The sequence below is a fragment of the Homo sapiens genome, chromosome 7 (assembly GCF_000001405.40).
Source record: "Homo sapiens chromosome 7, GRCh38.p14 Primary Assembly".
NCBI classification, from domain to species: Eukaryota; Metazoa; Chordata; class Mammalia; order Primates; family Hominidae; genus Homo; species Homo sapiens.
This window is the reverse complement of record NC_000007.14, coordinates 155,735,180-155,761,994: the sequence shown is the minus strand read 5'-3', so window position 1 is coordinate 155,761,994 and position 26,815 is coordinate 155,735,180. Positions and strand designations below refer to the sequence as shown.

General features: G+C 40.5%; 1 protein-coding gene across 1 annotated transcript in view, besides 5 other annotated features; it reads right to left on the bottom strand.

Moving 5' to 3' along the window:
* RBM33 (RNA binding motif protein 33) overlaps positions 1 to 26,815 on the bottom strand; it is a 136,820-nt gene that overhangs the window by 19,486 nt on the left and 90,519 nt on the right. The window contains exons 10-14 of the mRNA NM_053043.3: positions 24,333 to 24,465; positions 23,592 to 23,935; positions 21,969 to 22,280; positions 19,889 to 20,176; positions 16,393 to 17,034 (exon numbers count right to left, since the gene is read on the bottom strand). Of these exons, the coding sequence (NP_444271.2) occupies positions 16,393 to 17,034; positions 19,889 to 20,176; positions 21,969 to 22,280; positions 23,592 to 23,935; positions 24,333 to 24,465 (1,719 nt within the window). The remainder of the gene's footprint in view (positions 1 to 16,392; positions 17,035 to 19,888; positions 20,177 to 21,968; positions 22,281 to 23,591; positions 23,936 to 24,332; positions 24,466 to 26,815) is intronic.
* Positions 3,286 to 3,580: an enhancer, noted in NCBI's record as "tiled region #9615; K562 Activating non-DNase unmatched - State 17:Gen3'". NCBI's record gives its function as "activates a minimal TATA promoter and a strong SV40 promoter by Sharpr-MPRA in K562 cells {active_cell/tissue: K562}" and the evidence as "EXISTENCE:reporter gene assay evidence [ECO:0000049][PMID:27701403]".
* Positions 5,901 to 7,073: an enhancer, noted in NCBI's record as "VISTA enhancer hs1268". NCBI's record gives its function as "enhancer in: limb[4/6]" and the evidence as "EXISTENCE:transgenic organism evidence [ECO:0001131][PMID:17130149]".
* Positions 9,088 to 9,317: an enhancer, noted in NCBI's record as "active region_26901". NCBI's record gives its function as "activates an Ori minimal core promoter by ATAC-STARR-seq in GM12878 lymphoblastoid cells {active_cell/tissue: GM12878}" and the evidence as "EXISTENCE:reporter gene assay evidence [ECO:0000049][PMID:35858748]".
* Positions 19,352 to 20,551: an enhancer, noted in NCBI's record as "MED14-independent group 3 enhancer chr7:155534138-155535337 (GRCh37/hg19 assembly coordinates)". NCBI's record gives its function as "activates an origin of replication core promoter dependent on BRD2, BRD4, P300/CBP and CDK7 cofactors, and independent of MED14, by STARR-seq in HCT116 cells {active_cell/tissue: HCT116}" and the evidence as "EXISTENCE:reporter gene assay evidence [ECO:0000049][PMID:35650434]".
* Positions 19,843 to 19,992: an enhancer, noted in NCBI's record as "active region_26900". NCBI's record gives its function as "activates an Ori minimal core promoter by ATAC-STARR-seq in GM12878 lymphoblastoid cells {active_cell/tissue: GM12878}" and the evidence as "EXISTENCE:reporter gene assay evidence [ECO:0000049][PMID:35858748]".

Sequence of the window (26,815 nt, the reverse complement as noted above, 5' to 3'; positions counted from 1 at the left end):
AAAATAATACAAACACTGAACAAAAAATATTTAAACTGAATGGAAACAAAAATACAACACATCAAAATTCAGGGGCTGCAACTTAAGCAATGACATCAAAAAGGAAAAACATCTAAAATCAGTCATTTGAGTTTCTACCTCAAGAAGCTAGTCCCCCGTCCTCAAAAAAGGAAATCAAACCCAAGTAGAAGGAAGGAAAATGATAAAGATGACAGCGAAAAGCAACGGCATGGTAAACAGAAAAAAGACAATCTGTGAAACCAAAAGTTGGTATTTTGAGATCAGCAAAAAATTGATGCTCCTTTAAGGATACTGACCAAGAAAAAAGGAAAGAAGATGAATTACCAAAATAAGGAAACAAAGAGGGATCACCGCAATGGACCCTAAGAAATTTAAAAAACATTACAAGCAACTTTACATCAACACACTAGACAATTTACATGAAATGAGCAAATTCAACGAGACACAAGTACCAAAACTGACCGAAAGAGAAAATACGAATAGAACTCTAAGAAGTAAAGACAATGAATTAAAAACCATTCACAAAGAAAAACAAAGACCCAAATAGCTTCACCAGTAAGTTTTACCAAATATTTAAGGAAGAAAGACTACCAAGCTTACGCAATCTCTTTCAGAAAACAGAAAAGGCAGAAGCACTTCCCCACTCATTCTTTGGGCCTGGTATTACCCTAATACAAGGCCAAAGGCATCAAAAGAGAAGACAACTGCAAAAGAATATTCCTCATAAACATACATGAAAAAAAATCCCCAACAGAATATTAGCAGACTAAATCTAGCAACACGGAAAAGGGATCACACCTCATGACCAGGTAAGATTCATCCCAGAAGCGCAGGGCTGGTTTAACACCCCCCCGGTTAACCAAGGGAACACACTACACAAAGGAAAGGACCGTGTGTATATCTGCTATCGTCCAGCCAGGGCTGCGGGTGACTGAGCCAGATGGGTTCTCCCACCTAACGCTCTATGACTCTACCATTTGAATTATCATCGCCTGAAACGTGCGATCTTACTGGGAGTCGCTCCTGTCTTACAGGGGCTACCCCCAACCCCCACATGAAAATGGAAGCACTGTGAAAAGGCAGACCGCTCGCAAAATCCAAAGTCAGGCTGGTAGTTTGTGCCTCTTAAATCTTCTCCACAAGGTCTTCTACCCAAGGTGTGAGTAGGTATCCCACCAGGCAGGGAGGGCCTATACTGAGTACACAATTTTTCAGTCTGTATCTTAAAAAACTATGTGAATTCTCTCTAGTTTTATACATGCTTGAAATTTTCTATACTAAAAAGTTTTAAAATTTAAAAATATATACCACATACCCTCATCTTTCATGAGAACCAGTGACCATTAATTTATCCAAAATCCTATTGCAATGTTGTTGCCTGACAGTACAATCTTAGTATGAGATTCATAAATTCACTATGCACGTGTTCAGCTGTACTGCCACTGAAAACATTCCTCCTCTTTACAAGCGCGAACACTTCACACCAACCTCCAGGTCCCATGAGGGCCCATGTTAGGTGGAGGGGACATCAGACCACTCAGTTCTCCACACAACTCAGCAACCCAACAGTCTTACTGACTGTGATTCTCCAACTTCTACCCTTTCCACTAACGTGGGCAAATGCATGGACTGTGGAAGGTTTGCTCTCTAAGAAGGACTTCCATCGTATGAACTTAAGCAATCTAAATCAGCTCCCTGGTAGCTTAACCAACTAGGTCTCCAAGGATGCCGACCACAACATTTGCTGTCTTGTAAGTGCTTGAGAGAAGCCAGTGGTTTAGACCCCAGTGAATCTCTTGTTCAGCTTACCAAAATGTCTCATGCACACAGAAGGCACTGAAATATTTAGTGAATAGATCAGTAAATAGTTGCCTGTACTTTTTAAAGTTAAGTAGTTCTGAATGTGCTAAGAGAGATTATAGCATCAGAATACTAGGTTACAGCCACTGTCAATCAGTACACACCTATTTACTACACCACTAAGATAATAAAAGGCCAACTTTCAGCCCAGCAACATGAAGTGTCACGTGGCAGAAAGAGAGGCGACAGTACCTTTGGCCTGGAGGGAACGATGTTCACAGAACATGACGGACAGCAAGACGAATGCTCTGGCCGGTTTCCCTGGCAATCCAAAGCTTGAAACAAGATGGTCTAGAGAGGAAACTTTAACAACAATAGGTGGCACCAAAAGGAGGATGTTATTATTTGCATGTTGTAAGGTATACAATGTGTATGTGTACTTGGGTGATAAACACATAACACTGTAGTAATTTGATAATTTTTAAACTGTGCTTTGGGAGGCCGAGGCGGGTGGATCACGAGGTCAGGAGATCGAGACCATCCTGGCTAACACGGTGAAACCCCGTCTCTACTAAAAATACAAAAAAAATTAGCCGGGCGCGGTGGCGGGCGCCTGTAGTCCCAGCTACTCAGGAGGCTGAGGCAGGAGAATGGCGTGAACCCGGGAGGCGGAGCTTGCAGTGAGCCGAGATCGCACCACTGCACTCCAGCCTGGGAGACAGAGCGAGACTCCATCTCAAAAAAAAAAAAAAAAAAAAGAACATAAACATTGAGTCAATAAATACCCCGAATAAGAAAAAGTTCTCTTCATCATTATTTTGGGTAAGAGACTGGTGAAAATTTATGTCTGGTGACATTAACGTCAGATAAGAACTCTGAAAAATAAATTTCTAAACTTTTATTTTCCATTGAAGGAAAGTTTATTTTTTAAGTAGGCTTGATCTCTATTTAAAGTTCAGAAATACAGGTATTACAAAAAGCCTTTCTCTTCCTCATCTGTTTCAAAAAAACTAAAATTTCCTTATGCAGATCTTGTAACATAAAGAAAGGGTCCTGATGTGATGGTGTCATACCTCGTTGACGACTTTCTAAGAAATGGCCTGAAAAGACAGGAATAAGGCCTGTGATGAGACAGTCCCTGCAGACAGAGACCTCACCTCCTAGTGCCACCTCTGCTCATTCCGTGGGGCCGGGTGGGCCTTCCTGGGCCTGCCGCTGCACCCCTCCCTGCTTGGGAAGCTCTTGGGCCCAGACTGACAGACTCTTCGGTCCCAGTGGCAGGTTGGGATGCAGCTACTTGGTTTTTCTTCCCAGTGGGTCTGGCTCTCGGTGGTCTCTTGCTTCCTGGAGGCATGTGCACCACAGTGTCCTCAGGGCAGGCAGACACCAGAAGACACAGAAAGTGGGGTGCTTCAGAGTCTTGTGATGCCGACTACCCAACTTTCAAGGAAAGACTCTTCCTACAAACCTGCTCAGCAGAAAGAAGCCCTGCCTGGGTAAGCTCTGGAGCTGCTTATATCCAAGACAAGTTTTTGTACCTTATACAGCAGGGGTCCCCAACCCTCACTACCAGTCTGTGGCCTGTTAGGAACTGAGCTGCATGCACCGCAGGAGGTGAGCAGCAGGCAGGCAAGCATTACTGCCTAAGCTCCGCCTCCTGTCGGATCAGCAGCGGCATTCTCACGGGAGCATGAATCCTACTGTGAACTGCCCACGCGAGGGATCTAGGTTGCCAGCTCCTTATAAGACTCTAATGTCTGATGATCTGAGGTGCAACAATTTCATCCTGAAACCATTCCCCACCGCCAACCCCAGTCCACGGAAAAACTGTCTTCCAAGAAACCAGTCCCTGGTGCCAGTAAGGTTGGGGACCCTGTTATATAGCAACAAATGATATCATAAAACTTTATAATGGAAATTTTCAAGGCACTCCTGGGATCTTAATCATCAAGAGTTTTGGTATTATTCAATATATTCACTTAGTACTGGCAGTGAAATAATCCATAGCTCATATCTGTTGAATGTCTACAACAGGACAAGAAAGGTACTAGGGTCCGTACAGACATTGTTTTCCTTCAGTCCTCCTGATGGAGTTTTGGTATTTTGTCCCTCCCCAAATCTTCTGTTGAAATGTATCCCCAGTGCTGGAGGTGGGGCTTAGTGGGAGGTGTTTGGATCATGGGGCGGATGACTGTGAATGGCTTAGGCCATCCCCTTGGTGATAAGCAAGCTCTGAGTTCACAAAAGATCTGGCCATTCAGAGTGCATGGCACATGCCCCGCCCCCCACCCCACACCACCATGCTCCTGCTTTTGCCATGAAATGCGCCTGCTCCCCACTCTGCATTCCACCATGATTGGAAGCTTCCTGAGGCCTCCCTAGAAGCCAAGTAGATGCCGGCACCATGCTTCCTGTAAAGCCTGCAGAACCCTGGGCCAATTAAACCTCTTCTCTTCATAAATTATCCAGTCTCAGGTATTTCTTTATAGCAGTGCAAGAACTGCCTAATACACCTCCCTAAGAGGTAAGTAGTAGTATCCTCATTGTGCCCATTAAACAAACTTCAGTCACACAATAAGCGCTGGAACATCTTTGTGGCTCCAAAACCAGGGGAGGAGTTTACACTAACATATTTTGAAACTATTTTCAGACAGAGTTGAAACAAACGGGATCAACAATTAAATCACTTTAAATGAAGGGCTACTATAATGCTGTGCTTCTGAATTTTTCTGAAGATCATGCTAAGCAATGAAGGCTTGAACATAAGTAAAAGGTTGTTTCATTTTGTAAGAAAAAAATGAATTTTTTTTTCTAATTAAAAGAACAATTATTCCCTTTTGACTTAGCATGAGGAAAAGCTAATTCTACAGAACAGTTTCAAGTTCCCGGGTTTTACTCCAGTTCACACTAGAATGTGAACTAGCATACACATTCCTAGGTTGTGGCCAGGAGCGTAGTTTGGATCAGGTGAACAACTTCTACCCATGGGTCAAATTCTCCCATTGACTCTTCGATTCAACTTGTCCCTTTGGATTCTGTTGATCACATTCAAATTTTACTTTATTAGTGGTTTTGTTTTTGAGAAAATTTTCATTTCACCTTTCCCAATGGACAGACGTTTATTTCAAGGTACACTTCAGCCCATACTGTGGTTGACACTACAATCTCTGTCAAGAAGTAGGCAAGCGTTACTCTGAATGGCATCTAATACAGCTTGGTGGTCCTAATCATTACTTGTAAACTGACAAGTCCTATTTTAGCCACAAAATCAGGTATTACAACAGCCATGCTGGGGAAAGGAAAATATGGGTTTTGATACTACCCAGATACCACAGATGCTACCCACCACCAAGCTACCCGGCTATCTGGAAACTGCTGGTGACGTTTCTGCCCAAATTTTGCTGCCTACTTTGCAACTTGTGCTTTCGCCTGGGGTTTTACCATTCACTCCAACTCACGGGCGGCACACAGTGACATTCGGCCTCTCCTGGGTTTCCAACGTGCTCAGATTAAACATCACGATCCCAGCTACCATTTCATGTCATCTCTCAGAACAAATAGCAAGCAGAGTGCACCACGAGAGGAGTGAACTGCAACGCGCTAGACTCACACTTGGCCCAATTTATATGGCAGGATCAATGTGGAAACAACGCTTTCAATTCCCTTTTACTGCATATACCAAAACAACTTCCTGATTTTGACTTTTGATTTTAGTATGTTGTAGTACAAATATCCAGGAACAAATTCTTCAACTGATTACATCTGAGAAACAAATTGATTACATATTTTTATACCTATACTCACACATACAGACAAGATTTGAATAAGAACCAAGCCAAATTAAATCTACCCATTTATTTATAAGTCTTCTATAAGGTTATAGTTATGCATATAATTACAGCATTGAAAGAGATCCTAAAATTACTAGTACTTAGTTAAGTAAATTTTAAAATACTGTTGATTCAAATTGAATTTTAGAAGGCTGTTATCTTAACATCCACATATAAGTGTTGTATGTGGGTGACAGACTATACATTCTATTCATAAAAAGTATGTTTGCTTTGAAACTGAATTTTCCCAGGGTGGTGTTCGCTTTTTAACTCTTCAAACAACACTAGGTTCAGACAGCATTTTAAATATCTTCTACTTCCTCCAAAGCACATGAGAGAGAAAAGAAGTTTTGTCATCTCTGGTCAAACCAGAAACATTTTTTTCCCACAAATGATTATCTTTTAATGCTATAAAAATCGCTTTTTAGACTAGTTTTTTTTGTATATTTATAAAAGGCACTATTTGAATTAAGTAAGCTTAGGGAATACTTTTTATCAGCTTAATCATTACAAAAAAAAAGAGGTCTGTAGCCCCCAACATTAGCAGGACAAATTTATTTATAACAAATCGTTTAAATGCATAGATAAAAACACCTACTGATATTGTCAGGGCTTCCTGCAATTTGACAGATCAAATCTTATTTTCACTCTTAAACCCCATGAAGAAGTGCTATCACTGACTTGCATTCACTAGCAAGCAAATTGATTAACCCCCTCTATAGAAATCTCAACTCTTGATTATACCTATCAGACGCTAAGCAGCATTATTCTAGAGTGACAACACTTGACAAATTCCCCAACCATTTTTCTCAGCCTTTGTGGCCCTGCTAACTTGTATTAACCCTGATGAAAAATTAATTTTCCTTATCTTCTTCTAAACCCCAAAATCCAAATCCGCCAAACTGGCAACTCTTTCTGTAAAGGTATTATGAAAACCTCTAAAAGATTAATTGCATGTCTTCAGGTGACATTAAATTAATTTCTGTACTCATGACAGACATTTGATACTCCATACTGAGAGGACAGATAACATTGTCAGGACACACAGAAGGACAGGGGTGTAGTGTCCCAGGGCAGCCTCTTATGAATTCTCCTTTCGATAAGGCCATACTTCACTGTCACCGCCAATGTTGCTGATCTTACAGTCCAGAGACCTCACTGAACAGGTTTCTATTAACTACAACAATGCTGGGCCTATCCCTGTAATCTTTATAAAGCTCACTCAAAATGTGGACAATAAATGATATGCATGCTGTACGAAGTTTCTAAATATAAATACATTTAGGGCTTCTCATTTTTTTCTCTGAAGACTACTGGATTAAAGAAGAGGGGGTAAAAGAAAATATTAATAAACAGGCTCACATTCTCTTTCTTCTCTGCAATGAATTATCCTCATGAAATAGTAAGCATGCAAAACATGGGGAGCACTTACATCTAAAATACTGCCTATCTGGAACTAGGTCTACACAGGCAGAATTAAAACCAAATCCGTAAGGTTAGAGAGACCAGGTTGGACAGACCTCCTAACTACCAAGCTTCATGAAAGAAAAGGGTTCTCTTAGCACATGCATTTGACTTTCTAGTACGGTATGGTGAGAACGTGGCACAGTTATTCAAGTGCTTGCTCTCTCTCTTAACAGTCTACCTTTCTGACATTAGCTAGGCCTGGGGAGATCTTTAAAAAGCAAGATTAGCTGACCTTTGAAGGAACAAACCAAAGCCTTGAGCCTCTGAGGGGATCTCATACCCCAGGATTCTCCAATTTCGACAGCACAAATCTACCAGTCTAAAAAGTAAAGGATTACTAAAGTAAGCCAGGCACCTCCAGATGCTGTGGCTTATGAGGCAGGGTGTGAAGTCTAGCTCTTCCAGCCACACAGTCCCTCACAGAGGGGTGCAGCCCCAGGCTCTGAAAAGTGGCCCTTCCACCCTGCCCTGGAAGAGTGGCTCCAAAGGACCTGCTCTGTAGCACTGAGCAAGTTCTGCAGAACAGGTGACCAGGATCCTACCTGGGTAGGCTGTTGAAAGTTAGGGGAGGGAAGTTACCTAAGACATTGAAGAAAGCAGATTCCCCTTCTGGCTGGGGTGGGTGAGTGAGCTAATCCTGATTCCTAGCTGAAGGTGAATTATTTCTGACTCACCTGCTAATTTTACTCCCTAACATCATACCCCTAAAAAAATCATAAATTAATGAGTATGGAAATTCTTATGTGTTCAAAATGATTTATGTCCTCTAATGACCAATGGTCTATCTTGCCATGTTTAGAGGCCACATGATTAAGAATGCTTAAAAAGTAGTCTCCTTGGAAATTATCAATTCTGCCCACACTAAGACATTTCAAAGCTCTTAAAAACAAGTATTCATGCACAACTGTTTCTCCTCCAAAAGGAAGATGCTAGACTGTACGTCTTATCAAATAAGTGATTAATCAGGATTCTGTATGCCCTATTTTTCTTTCACTCTTTTGCTATTTGCCTGTTGGCCATTTTACCACTCATTAGCACCTTTAAACAAATGAGGTCAAACTCCACCCAGCCAACTTGGCAGGCATGAGGTGCCTGCCCCGCGCCTCCACGCTCCTCCCCTGCCCCAAGCACCTGAATGTGCATCTCTCGTGGCCCCCACCTCTGTGTCAAAAGCCATTTACACTCAGTCTCCCTTCCTGCCTAGTCTTCCCAGAACTGGCCTGTTGGAAATCCACCTGCAGCTCTGCCCTTCTCATGGGCAAGTTCAGACTGGGAACCCTACTTCTGAGTCGCTTCTATCTGGCCCCTCTCAGCTCCTCCTTAGCTCTGCTACTCATCCACTCCCAGGCGCTGCCAGAGATCATCCTAGGAAGTCACCTTCTGCCAGAAATCAAGCGACCAGAACAGCGGCATCCTCCTGTCCGGGACCTTAGAGGCTAAAAAACGTGGGTTCCCCTGAATGACACTCACAAGGTGGAGGCTCTGCCTTTGCATGGGTCTTCACCACAAACAAGTTACCACTGCAGATTTGCCACTTAACACAATTCAAACAGCAGCAAAACAGGATGTGAAATATCCCATTTTGCAAATCTAGAAAGGAGGACTTTCAGGAGGCAATAATAAATTTTTGCAGGAAATAATGCCCAGAAGAATTAGTAATGATTCATGCTTTTTGTCTTTTTCCAAATTTTGCTTACTTACTGGTATCATCTAAATGTCAACAGAAACAACTACTACTTTTATCATCAGAAGTACTGGGGAAAGGGGTAAGAACACTGCTAATTCCTCCTTTGCTATGCTTCAGTAAGAGAGTGCAAGCCATGTTGCCATTTTTAACACAGTATTTAAATATCTTAAACATTTATAATGTACCTGAAACTGCCTTACATCCTGGACACACAAAAAAAGACCAAAACCCCACTCAGGTAAGTAGCAGTAACATCAGGAGCCGGCTCTGAAAACACACGGTCAGATGAGAAGATCGGGCTGCAGAAGAGGAACAAAGAAAGGACGAACCAGTGTGCGTGGGAGCGGCCATCCAGGGAGGCGTCCCAGAAGACGACCCACTTGAGCTGCATCCAAAGTAATAAGTGGGCCAGAGGCATGAAACATGGCACCTCCAGAGAAGGAGCAGGAGTGACAGTAGCAAATTCTAACCCCAACCGAAGTGCTGAGGAATTTCCATGGGTTCTTAGACCAGTGGTTCTCACAGGGCGATGGGCGGCCTCAGAAGCATGTGATGCACGTTTCTGCCCAGCTCTCAACTCAGTGCTCAGCTGTGTCTCATGCCTTTCCATGTATCAACACTTAGGTTAGAACCTCAACAAAATTTGCAAATAATGACTGTCAATCTTTTGTTTGGGTTTATAGAGGATGAGGGACTCACTTTAAATATCTAAATAGTAATGTTTAATTCTTAGAACTATCAACTACAATAATTCAAAAAATGAAATCAAAATAGCAAAAATTACTTCCTAATTCCCACCAATGACCTATTTCAAAAAATACAGTACAAAAGCAGTATCTGTATGAGCCATTTTCCTTTCTTTGCAACTCACTGTAGAAGAATCAAAAATGTGCTGAGCGGGCCCAGAAGACAGGACAGACAAAAGCAGTGGGCACAACTGGCTCCCAGATCTCCACTCTAAGGACCTGGAGCTTCCAAGAAGCAGGACCAATTCCAGAGCCCATACAGAGAAAGAACAAGGTGAGCTCGAACATCTTCTTGCACCAGAAAGTGAGGACATGTTCCAAGAGTAATGGCAACAAATCAAAGGACACAGAAACCAGTTTAAAGGGGCTCTCACTGGTCAATCTGGTACAATTCTAAAATCAACATAAATAATGACAGTGACAGTTCATTGCATAAAGTAACAATTCATACACCCACACTGACATAAATAAATGAACAAATAGATGAAGGAGAAGTGTAAATTATCACAGCAGGAGCATGACAGCTAACAAATACAGGAGTGTTGGCATTAGAAAAACTTCAGTGCCTGCTAACAATAGTGAAAATTTGATCAGAAATGGGATATTTACATAGTCCCAATCGTCTCAAAGTATCTTCCTATAAATTACTTTACTAATTACAAAGGGTAAAACTGTAACATTACAGAGGAGAGACTTGGCAAACATCACTTTTACCCACCCGCCGCCCCATCAAAGTTAATCTTGTCAATATTGGACAAACCTCCCAACTGAATGCACTAAGAAGGACCCGATATCCCCTCTGGGGTGTTCCTGCCAAATATGGACAACCTGAAACCGATCAGGATGAATCATAAAATAACCCAAATTGAAGGGCATTCCCTCTGCTCTTTCAAAAGGTCAAGGGCAAGAAACAGCAGATTTAGGGGACACTATGAATATAATGCATGATCCTGGCTGGACCCTGAAAGGTGGGGGTTAGCTACAGAGGACATAATTGGTCCAGTGAATAAAATCTGAATATGTACTATGGATAAGATGATAGTATCAGTGCACAACAATTTTTATTTTTGATAATGTACAAATATGGTTTTGTAAGAGAGTATCTGTGTGCTGAATCATAACACACCATGTCTCCAACCTACTCTCAAAGGTTTGGGAAAGAAGGTTTTTGTGCATGCAAATGAACAAAAAGACAGACCAGGATAAAGCAAACTTGACAAAATGTAAACAACTGGTGAATCTGATAAAGAACGTATGAGAGTTTCTCCTACTGTTCTTAAAACTAAAATTATATTAAAACATTCCCTTTCCCACCTCCCCAAGCTCCACAAAACGGATCAGGTATATACATATCATTCCAAAAGTGGGAGTAACTTTTGAGAAGGTAGGAAGGGAAGAAATTTACAAATGCAGTCCAAAGCCATAAATGCATGATCCCACAAATAAACTGGGACCTTCGGCATGCAGCATTTTGACAGCCTTTTAAAAATAAAATACAAGAGCATCACAATTGGACAGCTGGCTTTCCTGCGGGGGCATTCTGTGCTGCTCCCATTTCTCTGTGTGGCCAACAGAATAAAGGACTGTTTACTTAATTTGCTGCCAAATTCTTAAAATTTTCATTAACTTGATTAGAATAAAGCAGCTGAATTGGTATTTGCTTTCATTTTCTTAAAGATCAATATAAACAGCCACTCCAAAAAAAAAAAAAACCATTTTCTTTTTCCTTCAACTAAAAGGGTGGTAACATTTATTGAGTTATTATCACATACTCAAGCACTGTACCACTAACTTTACATGATTATGACGTTTAATCCTTACAAGGATCCTGGGAGGAGAGTTGGTTCTCATTGTACTGATGAGGAAACTGGGATTCATTGAGGCCAGGCAACCAAGGTTACAGAGATGCAAAATGAAAACCAAGATGCAAACACTTCAAAGACTATACCATTCTCCCTAAATAGGAAGACAGAAACTGACCGCCTAAGGCAAAGAATTTCCCCTGGCACTTGTTTGTTCTAATTCCTTTTTCCTGTGTTTAATCACACAGACTGGTTTTAGATGACTATATAAGTTTACACTAAGTAAATATTTTATACTTTTTATATTTGCTGTTATTACTTGAATTGTTTTTCTGGGAATTATGTATAGGTTATGAACAAAATTATAATGTAACAAGGTTGTTCTTTTGGTTTCTTAAACACTGAAAAATAGCTTTCTGAGAAATGGGCAAATGGAGAATATTTCTATATTCTAAGTAATTAAAAGAGAACCATTCCATGAAATATAATTCTACAGATGAACTATTTACTTAATAGTCAGGAAGGCACATAAAATTTTAGCAGTATTTGCTGCTAACACTACTTATAAGCAGCATTAATTTGTTCCTTTTGTAATCTCACCTAGCAAATCCAGACAGTAAAATGAGTGGGAAAAAAATGGAAATTCACGTACACAGAAATTGATTAGCCTCATAACAAAAGATCTCTTTCCATTTCAAATTCCCCTAATATTTCCCTTCAAAGTTTTAAATGCAAAATGTGACTTAATTTGATTCACACAGAAATGTTCAAGGATAGACTCACACAGCACATAGCAAGTGATGGCTATTCTTAACCAGGACACAATATGCACTCCCTTTCCTGGGCCAGCAGCCCAGGTTCTGGAACCGGGATGATGGAACCCCAGCCACTCGCCAGGCCTATATTCAAAGCTGAGGCTACTTACCATCCAGGCTGCGTTTTCATGTATCAAATCCTTCTCAGCCTATTGTTCCAGGCAGTCACTATCAGTCTGTTGCACTGGCAACCAAAATGAAACCTAACCATCATCATCATCATCATCATTATCCTAGGAGCCCCCATTAAGCATTTTCCGAATCAATCTAGACTGCTAATAGTAGAATATTATCCCCAATCAAGAAACAAATAACACCATGAAAAACACAGCAGATAAAATAGACAACTATCATAGACAAGGGTGAAGAGCGTAAGATTCAGCACTAACCCACAGGTGGAAGCCCAGCTTTACCACCTAGTAGGTGTGCGGCGGCCCTAGGCTGGTTACGTAGCCTCTTTGAGATTCAACGCACTCGCCTCAGAAGGATGTTGTGAGTACATGCTAAACACTCAATAAATAATAGCCACTACTATTATCTGGCATAAAAATCACATAATTTATTTCTAAAAGGGGCCTTAGAAGCATTCTACAAAGAAAATGGGAAGTTATGAAATGCCTTCTGTGTACCAGAAGCTTTCATTTACTGATGCCTCACAGCAGACTTACTAACCCCACTTGCAGATTGGAAATTAAAGTTCAGAAAAATGAAATGATTGTTCGGGGTCCCAAAGAACAGACAACTATTCAAACAGGAGTCTTTCTGCACCCAAAGCCACACTGTTTTACCCCATCACATGACTGCGTGCACAGGTGAGCTCTCAGTCCTAGAGAAAGGCTCCAATCTCTATACAGCAAGAAATTTCAGAGCAGCCAACGGCAAAACGCAATGCCAACAATAGCCCTTGAATCTGCATAGTCACTTTTCAAGCTTTAAACCAAGACGTTGACCCTAGTCAACACAATCGTGTAAGAAACAATACCAGGAATCATGCTGCTCATCTCTTTTCGAAAATGTTCCCTATGCACACGCATACTGCAGCAGCAGCCACAAAGGGGACCACCAAGAAAGGACTAGACATTCTCTTACAATGACAAGGACCAAGGAAAATCACCTGAAAGGCGATATAATTAACCACAGGGCAGACTACAAAAACCTATGGTCTTAAGACTCAGCCTCTCTCACCTTTCAAAAAACCCAGTTTAATAAAACCCAACGATAAATTATTTCATTATAAGTAATGACATATGGAAAATATAGAAGAAAACTCCATTTGATTCACAATTGCCTCACAGACATGAGTACACTCACAGAAACCTAATTAAATTGTATATCATAGTAAGAATGGCAAGAAAACTGTGCTTTCATAAACATGTGAACAATCCTGTGGACACATATTTCAACTGCAATCACCCACCAGAGCACAAGTTCTTGAATGGCACTATGCAAAGATAGTTTGCTATCCTGTCTAGAGACGTGAAGAATAGGAGACTGCTGAATGCAAAGAATAATTGAATTAAATGCATTAGATTTAGTTACACTAGTTAAATTAGAAAAAAGGGAAGGAGGTAATTTAGGTTAGGATATAGTATAGGTTAGAAAAAATGGGAAACGCGAACCAACAATAAAATGTTTTCATTAAGTAAGTAATCGTAAAACTAAGATGTAGATAATAATATCCTGTATGGGTGCCATGCACAAGTCAATCCTCCCCAGATGCCAAGCTCCTGTCAGCCAAGGTCTGCTCAGCCCTCGGCTCCTGAAGATTTTCATAGGCAGGAAACATCCCTGAGCATTAAGACCACAGCCCCCATATGCAGAGAATGCCTCTCCAGCAGCCAGGAACAGAAACACAAGCCAAAATAAATGCTTCCTTTTTGCATTGTCTGAAATAAGCACAATTTGCAATTAACCACCATTAGGAATATGTTCTCTCAAAAATAGTCCTCACCCACAAAAAAACAAAAAACAATGCCATTAGGCAAATCCTATTTGTTCTGGTTCAGAGAAATACGAACAAGACATCTTCCCTGCTAGGTCAAAAGTGCCAATGTGCTATTGGAGGGGACTGAGTAAACCCTAAGATACGAACATGTGGGCTAGTTGACACTTAAGAAGTAAAAGATAAAGAGCTGTTCCAAAGTACTGGTTTGACAGCTATTTTCATGAAAAATTCCTTTGTTTTTCCTATTTATTGTAAAATTAGCATGATTTTGGAATTAGGTCTGATATAAATTTTTTCCATTGGAGAAAAAGAGTAAAAATTCATGTAGATAAAATTCTTTTAAAGGAAAGCTGTTTATGAGTGTAAAAGCTGCTCTTTGATGGTAGAAACTGGACCCTTCACTTCCCAGCCTGCCAGTGCAGAGTACATGCAGCCCTCTACATCGGCCATTGTAACAAACAGCACCAGTTCTGGTTGCTATGGGAAAAGGCCTAATTCCCAACAATGGCCAACATCTCATCTTAAAAAAAGTCTGTAACACAAGTAAAAGAATGAGACACTGATTAACACAGTACACTTAAAAACAAGGTCAAAAGCAAAAGGGCCATAAACACTGAAGAAACTGAGTGCTTGAGTTCTCACCTAAAGGTAACAAATTCATATAATATGAAAACAATTTTATGTAACACCATTCTTCTCAACATTTCTAATTACAACGAATAGATGTGAGAAAACAGATTCAGATAAAGACTATCCTACTGGATAGTCTACATATGGAACTTCTAATCACAGTATTTTATAAAGATTTTCTTATAGCACATGAAAAAGTCAAAGTTTTGTTCTACAAACCTAGAAATAAAAGCACTAAATCTCAGCTAATTAACCAACTAACAAAATGAGTTATTCTTAAGCACAAGCAAGGAGACGAAGTAACGTTCTCCTTCACATGATCACATGTCCTACCATCCTGAAATGGACTAAAAGAGATAAGTTATTTTCTTTTTTTACTGTATACATTTTTTGTGTCTTTTAAAGCAATCGTTGCTAGCTGGTTTACTCTAGAAGCCTATGTTTACAACTTTCCTACTTTCTTCCTCAGTTTATAATATAAATTGCATACAATGAATAGCACTGTTATAGGGCAGAGCAATTACAGAGACCATAGTATTTGTTATAGAATTCATTTTCATGAAAACAACAGATGAGAGCTACTTACCACAACTAATAAGACTATATGGTGGGATAAAGAAGCAAGTGTTCTACAGATCACTTCTTTATGGAAGAATCTTCTGCAATGGAAATCTATCTGCAGTGACTGGTTTTATTTTAGAGTACTGAACCTATCCAAACTACAGTGGAAAACTGCACTTCCTGTGCCTGACTGAAAATGACCTGATATGGACAATGATGAAAAGCAAGAGAAAGAAATGAGGCATGCTCCACTTCTGAAAGCATGTGGGAAGAGCATACAGGACTTCAATTCTCAATTCTATGACGCTTTTTTTTTTTTAAATGGGGCAAACTGAAAACAGAAAACAAGCAGTAGTCCAGTAGTCTGGGACAAAGCTGATTCAAATTAGACACACACCTGCACTGCCCACCACTCCCACTGTCCCACAGCTGCTCACTGAGTCTAAAGCTATACACCACAAATGATTTGTGTAAAGGAAAATTTATTTCCAAAACAAACGTAATGATTTTATCACAAATTATCTACAATAAGAAGCTAAAACTGAGTGATATCTAATTTAGGGATTGTCACACTGGCCTTTCATTAAGACTCAAAAGAGAAAACTGAAGCATGTGCCGCATAACAACATTCTGCTCAGATGGGCGACACCTGCAAAGGCGGTCCCATGAGGTTATGACACTGTATTTTTACTGTACCTTCACTAAGATACATTTCGACACACAACTACTCATCATTGTGTGACAACTGCCTATAGTATTCAGCACAGTAACATGCTGCACAGGCTTGTGGCCAGGGAGCAACAGGCTGTACCATATAGCCTAGGTGTGCAGCAGGCTGTACCGTCTGTGTATGGAAGTACATTCTAGCACGTTCAGACAATGACAAAATCGCCTAACAACACATTTCTGAGAATGTATGCCTGTCGTCAAGCGGCAATTCTTATACCAACTTCAAGTAGGTAGAGATTGGTTACAAGACTATAACAGAGGTAACTTTTAATTCTTTCTTCAAAAACATTCTCTGCAAATGAGGACATTCTATGTGATACACAGACTCAAAGAGGCTCTCATAAAACTTGTCAACTTACCCCACCTGACAGCTTAATCACCCTGACCTTGGAGCTGATGTGGGGCCCGTCTCCACCACCACTGTTTGTCCTGTGCGTGACAGTCCTTTTCACGCCAGGCTTTGTGTCCTGGGGCCGGCCCTGGATGGACGCCACTCGAGGAGTCTGGGGGACAGCTGGCTCCTCCACATCTGCAGGTTTGATCGGGAGCACTTTATGCAGCGGCTGAGTCTGACTTTGAGGAACTGTTCTGGTCTGTCTCAAATGTTTCAGTGCTTTCATCTGTTGTCCTTGATACTGCATGTTGGCACTGGATGGTACAAAATTGGATGTTTTGGGCTGAACGTTTGAAATACTGACATCCTGGTTTTTAACAAGAAGTCTGTTCTTCACATTTTGTCTGACCTGTGCACCTGGAAAGGGCAACAGTGGGTTACCGTTGGTGGGTGATGGTGACAGTGCCTGCTCTTCCTGCTCTGCTGGGGGTGGGGGAGCGTACAGCTGCTGCTGTTGCTGCGCGAGTCTCTCCAGCAGCTCCTTCTTCCTGGCACCAGCCTGCTGCTGCCGCCGTAACTCCTTCTGTTTCAGGATTTCTTCTCTTAGGCGTTTCTGTTCTTCTATCTTTAAGCGATATAACCTTGTTTCCTCATCTTCATCAGGAAACTAAAATGGAAAACATACACGGTTTACTTTGCTATACAGGCAAGGTGCCCATAGTCTATTTCAACAAATTACAAGAACACATTTACCACAAGTCCTTTAATTCAGTATCTGAAAGAAGTCACTCAAAATCTGTTTGAAGACTTTAAGTATAACTCCTTCCTCTGGGGAGGGGGAAAAAAACCACACAGCTAAAGCTAATTTGGAAAATCTTATCAGAATATTAAAAATGAAATAATGTAAATTTCCACTCATTTACAAGTTTGAAACCAATTAAACTATTCATTTAAGATATCAAAATATGTTTCAAACAGGAATGGCAGCAGTAGGGAGGCCTGCTGTCACACAGGTTTTATCTGGCTCTTCTCTGACAAACCAACAAAAGGTGGGGTGTAAATGACCTGAAAGGCTCTGATTAGAACTATTGATTTTTCGTGCAGAATTTTCAGCCTGATCTCAAACTCATTTGTCACAGAATAATTGGTTATAATGAACAGCACAAGTCAATCTCTCTGACCTTGAACTCATGCACTCTCCTCAGAATCAAAATGTTGCCGATTGCAGTATTGGAATATTAATGGTATATAAGGAACGCCTTTAATATTCCAAGTTCCAAACCATTCTTCAAGTCGATACAAAAAAATCTTTGAAAAACTCCAGTAACTTTCAATAAAAAGCATCCAATAGGGAAAATGTATAAAAAGTTAAGCATTTTTAAAGAATTGTAATAATATTCTTTAAAAATCATCCATATCCACAGACTCCGTGTAAAATAATGTAACAGGATTTAATCTATCTAGAATTCAGCTATTTCACCATCTTACTTTCCCTAAATAAACCTTAAGAATTAGGAACTTAAGACAAAAGCACAGCTGAGGAGTCGGCTGGTGCCCTGGAGCTTGAGTGCCCGGTGCCAGCCCTCACTCAGGGATTACTTGTCGTCCTGGAAGCAATTCCGACCACCTCTGTTCTCTAATATCACATCTAGGGCAGATTTCAAACTGCAAAAATGAAGGTGGGTGAGAGGCTGTTTACAAGGGTAGGCATACAGAGCAAGACATGGCGTCCAGGGGGATAGTGGGCACAAGGGACATGGGCATCGGGGAAGCAGACGGCTGGGGACATATTCACAGGACCCAAGGGGCCACTGCCTCAAAACACAGGAATAATTACTAGTCATCGGAATTTCCCATGCAGTCAAGGAAGAGTTAAAGCATGTTCAGAACAGCAGCTGAAATACTTGAAAAGACCTCCAAATAAGCAGATTCACCCTTTATTATATCATCATCAAGAGGGGTGAACATACGAAAATAAGTCACATTTAGCTAAGCAAAACAAATAGAAGATCTTTCTTCTAAAAAGTAAAAAAATATATATAATCCTGGTCCCCTTTATATAGAGAGAGAAAATTAAAAGAAAATAAATCAAGACATTCCATTTATACTACGGTGACCTACAGGTTCCATTTCACTCAAGGCATCTTTTTGAAATAACTCCATGGAAGAATCCTTTAGAAGTTCGCCTAAATCAACTATCATGGAAGGAAGTGATCGCCAGATGTGCCAGCAGGATGCCTGAAAGGCAACTTCCCCTATTAGGTAGCCCTGTTATTATGAATGTGTGACTTCATTTTTCTGAACCAAATCAGTTACACATACTGAGTTAGGAGCTGGCTATATACACTAGAAGTATGATAAAACTTTTACCAAAGACTTCTTTCTAAACTATTCCGATCCAGTTTGTAAATCTACATTATTTTTTCACATATTGATTTTAAAACCAAAAGTCACTCGTGTTCTAATAAGAGTTCATTGTATGTTAATATTTCAACTTTGTACTTCCAATTTGGTAAACAATACATTACAACTGCTACAATAATATATCAGAAGAAAATCTAACTGAAAAAAATGAACTGATTAAAAGGTAAAACCAGTGTTGACTGGTTTTTATGAAACTAAGAAAGCATGACTTGCCTAAATTCTTCTCTAAAGCCATTCTTCATGACATTGCTATTGGACAAGTTAACTCGCTGCACTGCTTCAGAGCACTCCACATGCATTTCACTAAGGCTGACACGCCCTCCAGGTGCCAGCCTTCTGCACAGGCCGCCCTGGCCGACCCTCCTTTACCAGATGAGGAGACTGAGGCTTGTGGGAGAAGACGGCCTCAACTAAAGCCAGGTAAAGACTGAGCTGCATTGATTGTTCACACTCACTACATTCTGTGCCTACTGAAAAATTAGGAACAACAGCAACAACATATATCATCATACTTCAACACAAAGCAAACCCCCAGAAATCTTAAAAGACCAACAAGAAAATTGGTCCTATCTTCTAGAGGTTAATAGTGTAAATCAAGAAAAGTCACAGAAACCTACGGGATTCACCAGGTGTCAGCACATGACACCCCACAGGCTGAGTCCGGTCCACCACCTGGTTTTATAAAGTAAAGTTTTACCGGAACGCAGTCACATCTATTCATGGAAGAACTATATTTAAATTGCCTTTGTGCTAAAATGGCGGAGAAGGGTAATTATGACAGTCTGGACTATAAAGTCTAAAATATTTATAAAATATTTGGGCCCTTTACAGAAAAAGTTTGTTAAGCCCCGGTATATATCAATTCTGTATAACAGAACAGTAACTGTACAAATATATAAACTCTAATCTTGTAAACTAGTGAGAATACAAGTGTTTTTTTAATAAACATGGCTGTTAGGTTAAAAAAAAAAAAAGACCCAGGTGAAAAAAGTGGGAAGATTTTGTGAATAACTTAGTGAGAGTGAACTAAGACATCCAAGTTGATTCTAAGGCTTCTTGTTTGAGACCAACATTTGTTAATAAGAGCAGTGTCCTACCTCTGTTTCTGTTTTTGCCTCTTCTTTAGGTTGAGCCACAGGGCTAGCTGGCTTGACTTTCACTTCCGTCTTTCCCTGTGAGCTTCTGGAACCCGCCACGGCCCGCGAGGGTGGTGACGCGCTGACGATAGGTTTCACTTGTGCTGAGGGCGTGGCAGAGCAGCGGCTGCTGCTCATTTCTATCACGTGTGACGGCGCTATGGGTAATTCACGCAAATTGCTGTTCCTTGGCGCAGTGGGCTGCATTTGCTGCATGGGCCGCTTGCTTACATTCTGAGAAGTTGTATTCTTTTCACAAAAAGAAAGAGATTCTAATTGTAAGTGGAAACTTGGCAGAAGGAACATTAAAAGGCACATTATTAAATAAAAACACAATAAATCATTCTAATTAGTAAATGACTTCTTTTGGGGAGCAGATACTTTTTTCTCATACTTTTTTTCTCATACATAAATGTCACCTGATCCATGTGGCAGCATGCCTCATCCTAATGTTAACAATTTCCATTGGTAAAGTTGTCATACTTGCCTACAGAGAGGCTCCTCTTCATAGAAATTACACCAGGCTGATCTTTAGCAGGTGCTTCAGTAAAGGGACTGACAGTTTTAAAAGAATTAAGACAGCCAAAAAACCACTCTATCTGCCACCAGAGATCAACGGGATTCACATGCTACTATTTTACCTAGTCACTTAAATTTAAGCTGGAACAAGGAAAGAATCAAGCATCAGGTCAATGTCCTAAGAAACATGACCCCCGGGAGAAGAAAGGTGCCAGAACGTTTTACTCGAGAGGAAATGCTTAGTCATATTCATCCTGGGGATTCTTAAGAGAGAACCAACACCTGGAGGAGGCAAAGAGAACACGAGAGAGCTGGAAGGGGGGAGGGGGGAAGCAGGGGGATCTCCGAGGTCCCGCAGGTCAAATATCCCAGTGCACGAGGGTCATGAGACTAGCCTACCATTATTCTAACAAATGAAACCCAGGTTATAAAGCACCCTCTTCTCAGATTTAGAAATCTTTTCTTACTGTTCACAGCACTTTAGTTGCAATGTTTACTTTAAGAAAGAAAGAGGCAAATATCAGGAAAACTGAGATTCCAAGCAGCTAAGTGACATGACTGAAGCTCAAGGGTGAAAAGAAGACAATACCAAAAGAAAACTGACAGGCGAGAACCCTGACCACTGACCACACTGTGTCTCTTTTTCTAAAAACCAAATTACAAAGTCTCATATATATTTAATGGAGGCAAGAGCCCTGACCACTGACCACTAGCCACATTGTGTCTCTCTTTCCTAAAAGCCAAATTACAAAAGCCTCTTATATATATTTAATGGAGGCAAAAACCCTGACCACTAGCCACACTGTGTCTCCCTTTCCTAAAAACAAAATTACAAAAGCTTCTTATATGTATTTAATGGAGGACAAGGGCAATGACTGTGGCCTTTTATTTTCAGAGCAATACATTGTTTCCCAGTTTCTTTTAATGCACGACAAGTCACACATTTGCTGATGGTGCTTGAGAACACAACCCCACAAATAAATGTATGCTAATCTCCCTCGACTGAGTATAAGCTCCTTGAAGGAAAAGAATTTGTCTCTTCTGTTCACTGCTGTATTTCCAGGACTAGAGTAGCACCTGGCAACAGAACAGTCAACGTATTTTTCCTGAATTCATTTATGTATTTATTCAGGGACCAAAAAGACAGAGATAATCTATACATCAAAAAATAAGCCACTGGTAAAGGGAAAGTGACTACCACCCAAAAGTATTTTCTAAAGTTACGTGTCTATTAATTCCTGTCTATTGCTATAGAAATATCTAGATACAAGAAAGATGCTTAAGTAAATATTAACACAGTCTTTGAGACACAAAAGGAGTATCTTATCAATTCTTGTAGTCAAGAAAACAAATCACCTGAGTGTTTTTTAAAACATGGATTCACTTCAGAACTATGTACTACACATTTTATAAACAGAAATCAGAACTGGAAAATATTCTAACCTACATATTATGCCCCTCAAGTCCTGTAAGTTAAAAGGCCTCCCAGGAAGACACAGGGAAGACACCCCTTGACACTTACATGCCGGAGCCCCTGGCGCTGGGGGCACTGCATCCGGCTGCTGCTGGCCTGAGGCTGAGCGGTCTGTACGTGAGGCCGGAACTGTGGCTGAGACATCGGCATCAAAGGAGGGGGCGGGACGGACAGGTGGTGGTGGTGGTGGTGGTGCTGGTGCTGCGGCGGGTGCTGTGGTGGGTGCTGGGGTGGGGGCTGGTGCTGGGGCGGGGGCTGGTGCGGGGGCTGGTGCGGAGGCTGGTGCTGTGGCGGGGGCTGTTGCTGAGGTTGCTGAGGCTGAGGCTGATGCGGAGGGGGCAATGGAGGATGCAACGGCCCCTTCCATTTCCAAAGAAAGAGAAACAACAGTTCATAAATGGTTACACCGGGCATAATCACTTCAATCATTTCCTAAAAAACCTCAACACAAGAAAGGAACTTTCAGCGATACCAAAACTTCATTTTAGACTTGCTGATGAAGGTAATACTATCTAAAATGCAGTAATAAGCCAGAAGCTATTACCTTAAATTTTATATTTAATCCAGTAATTCTAGGATTGAATTGTCCTAAGGAAAACTAGGTATGCAGACAAACTCATAACTCTAAAGCATGTTCCCTGTAGCACTATGATACTAAAGTACTGAAACCAGTATACACACATGCAACCACACAGACAGCATGAAAGGGAACCGCATACAGCACTCTCAAACGATGGCATCAAAACCAACTCGCTGACATGAAAAGATCAAATGATATGTGACACTGGAGGGAAAAAGCAGGTGGCGAGAAGATGTGCATTTAAAAAAAGACAAAAAAAAAAGCTCCTGAATTGTTTCTAGGTAACGAGAGTATTTAATTTCCTTTCTTATATATACTTGAAAATTTCTGCAATGGGGATGTATTAATTGCATTTTTTTAATAAAAAGAAAAATTCTTAAAAACATTTTATCTTCCTTTAACACCCTAGATAATATTCATTTTCCGTTTTTGGCTTAGATACGTATTCCACGTATTTTTAAATAGTTGATTCAAGTTTACCATCGCTATGTATTTTAATAGTAACCCTACAATACAAGAAGAAATATACACTTGGTAAGAAAGATGTTACAGACGCATGTCAACCCATGAAGCAGAAGCCGATGGGCAGAGGGCACTCAAGGCCTTCAAATAACCAGTGAAAACCCATGAAGCAGAAGCCGGTCGGCAGAGGGCACTCAAGGCCTTCAAATAACCAGTGAACAGCAACATCTTCTTCCCTCCATGCAAAGACTCTTTTCAAAACTGTCTACTGCAGGAATATAATTTGACAAAGTATTTCCACTGGTAAACCTCTCATGAAATTTTATACAGATGAGCAAATGTATTATCAAAACATGTCCTAATTTTATTAGTAGTATACCCTTTAAACAATTATAATAAGTAGCATTTTTCAATTCCCAAAAAATGACATTTTCCCATTTTTTTCTTGTATTGAGATAAGTAACATTGTTGAAAAAAGTTGTCTTTAACAAACAGTACATTTGAGACTAATACTCTATTCTTTAAATAACCACAAATTAGTAGGCTCAAATAAAAATCTGAAACTTTATGGAACACAAAGCCTTGAAGCTACACATTTTTTCCCTGGAGGTTCACTCAGGATGCATTACCTGCAGGTTGGGCTGTGTGTGTGTGGGCAGAAACGGCTGTCCTGGGCCTGGCAGGAACGGCTGTCTAGGAGGAATGAAGGGCCGTGTGGTTGCCGACCCAGGCTGGCTAAAGTGCAGAATCCCCACCGGACCTGGAGGCTGCAAGGCTGGTCGTACGGGCCGCTCTCTTGGGAACACTGGCTGCTGTCCTTGCTGATTAAATGCTGGTCCTGGCTGAGTGAATGGTAGAGGACTCTGAGTAGGAACAGGATGGCTACTGTTAAGAAGGGTAGGAGGCGGTGGTGGTGGAGGGGGACTTCGCTGTTCCAGAAAAAGATGGCTCGGGAATCTTGGTTCACCTGAAACTGAAAGGTAACACAACATCATTAACTTCAGGTTAAAAAGACCATGTGCTTCTCAGAAAAGCAGTCTGAAGCACTATCCTACTGTGGACAGAAGTCACAAGTGTTGACAGGTTATGAATGTTGGAAACAATTCCAGATTTTGCCTCTTATTTCTAGATTGCTTCATTTGTCATTTTCTATACATAAATTCCCTTTTATATGAGATGTTCCGATTTCAGATACCAACAATGTCCAATTTTAGCACCTGAAATGACAGGCAGAACTGCTATGGTACAAAAACCTGGCATTCCTAACATCTCCAACTGGGAGTTCAATTCAGTTTACAAAATAAATGTGTTTGGGCACATCACCCAATGCAGCTTCTGTTGTTACTCCACACCACTCACTCTTTCTGTACCTCCTAAGAAGAAAGGGTCTCGATCCTGAGGCGGGGGTGGGGCTCTCCACTGGTCCTGGAGAGGGAGTCGTGGGGGCTGGCTGAAACTGTTGGGAACAGGTCCAGGTGTATGCTGTGGAAATTCTGGAGGGCCCTAAAGAACAACAACAACAACAGAGAAACAGGGTGAAGGACAGAAAAATGGTATGTAATTTTTAGAAATATAGACCTGGTTCCAAGTTTTCCTCAAAAATGTCAAGTAACGTGTCTCCTAACAGTCACTGTCTTTCTCTTTCTACACACACACACACACACACACACACACACACAGAGTCATGCATCCTTAATGACAGGATACATTCTGACACGCATCCTTAGGTGATTCCATCATGCGAACACCACAGAGTGTATTGTAATCACACACACACACACACACACGCGCACCTAGATGGTAGCGCTTTCTACACACCTAGCCTGTATAGTACACACTAGTAGCTCCAAGGCTACATACCAGCGCAGCATGTTACTGTACTGAATACTGTAGGCAACTGTCACACAATGCTAAGTATCTGTGGATGTAAACATATCCAACCCTAGAAAAGGTTACAATAAAATACACTATTATAATCTCATGGAAACACTGCTGTCTATGCAGTCCACCATTAACCAAAATATCCTTACACAAGACATGACCACACATATTAACATAAAAACTGTTACACAACAGGTGATTCTGCAATATTAAATGATCAAAAATCAAAACGCAGCAACTAGAAATTAAGTCAATGTTTTAATGTCATTATAACGCAAGAATATTATTTTTAAGCTTATTGAAATCCATGCAATTATTGGCCTATTTCCCATTAATCCAAAACACTAAATGTCATGACATTTATCTTTTTAAAGATGCTCATCTTTGCTATTTAACAGGACTGTAAGCTGCAGCTATGAAGCTGCTTCACTTTAAAAGAAAAAGAAATTCAATCAGCAATTCCTGACTTAACAGAAAAATGTGAAATGTTTTAAGAAACCAAATTACTACAGAAAAAATAGTACACAGAGTCCTCTGGATAAAAAAATTTTAAGCAAATTCTTACAGATTAACATTTTTCAAAAACTACATGTTACTAGAACTCTTTAGAGACAAATTAAAATTACTTCCTTTTTCAGTTGGTCTTTCAGGTATTCATGGAGATTTTTTTAAACCACCGTATTGACCTAGGCAGCAGCATAAAGGTAAAGAAATGTTCACCACTTTTTCACTGCTCCAAAAAGAAGTAATTAACTATTAACTATCATCAAAATAATTTTCATTTAATAGCACCTTGTTCTTTGAAACTGAGTCAATATTTCACAACTTTTAAGTATCATTCTTCTTTCTCACACACTTGCAACCCCAATGCCTTGGCCTATCATTTTATCACTAACTCACTGTTCCCTCTAAACACAACAACATTTTCTAACACTGAAAATGCTCTTCCGCAGTGCATTTCCCTTCCTTCTCCCTACAAAAGTCTGTTCTACCCATGGCATTGACAGAATAGACAAAATGAACACTAGTATAAACACCACAAACCCTTAAGATTGTTGGCTACAAAATAATAAAGAAATGTTTAACACACAAATATTGTATCTTTATAAAAACATAAACTTTAGGCACTTATTGAAACATGTACAACAGAAAGTCCAAAGCTGAAAATCTCGTAGCTTTTGACTTTAGGTGAAACAAGGAAATCCACAGCATACTATTGCCTGACATTAGGGAGTGTCACTTCTCTAGATAAAGACATCAATTAAGACACAATGAACCCAATAAATGTCAGTAACTGAGGAATATATTTGTAAGTGAGAATACATATCATATACATGGTCTTTTACCCCTAATTAATTTGAAAATTCACTGATATAATGCTTTGATATGGATCTCTTTTCCTGAGAGAGGGAGAGAGAGAGAGAGAGAGAGACAGAGAGAGAGAGAGAGAGAGAGAGAGACAGGGTCTTGCTCTGTTACCCAGGCTGGAGTGCAGTGGCGCAATCAGCTCATTGTAGCCTCAAACTCCTTGGCTCAAGGGATCCTTCCACCTCAGCCTCCTGAGTAGCTAGGACTTACAGAGCATGACACCACATCCAGCTAGTTTTTTTGTAGAGGCAGGGTCTTGCTATGTTGCCCAAGTTGGTCTTGAACGCCTGGGCTCAAATGATTCTTCCACCTCAGCCTCCTAAAGTACTTGGATTACAGACATGAGCCACAACACCTGGCCAATATTCTTGAATATTTAATATCTTTACTTTGCTAATAATATGCTAGAAAAATTACTTCTAATAGCACACGCCGTTACATACTGTTACTTACTACATCTGCATGAGGAGTTTCAATGAGCTTGCCTGCTTTCTCCCACTGCCAAAGTTTTTTCCTCTTGTTTTAAAAATATTTTCATCTCTTGTTTGAAGTCAATGAAACACATGGTGTGAACATGAATATATCTCCTCCAAAATAATATTGT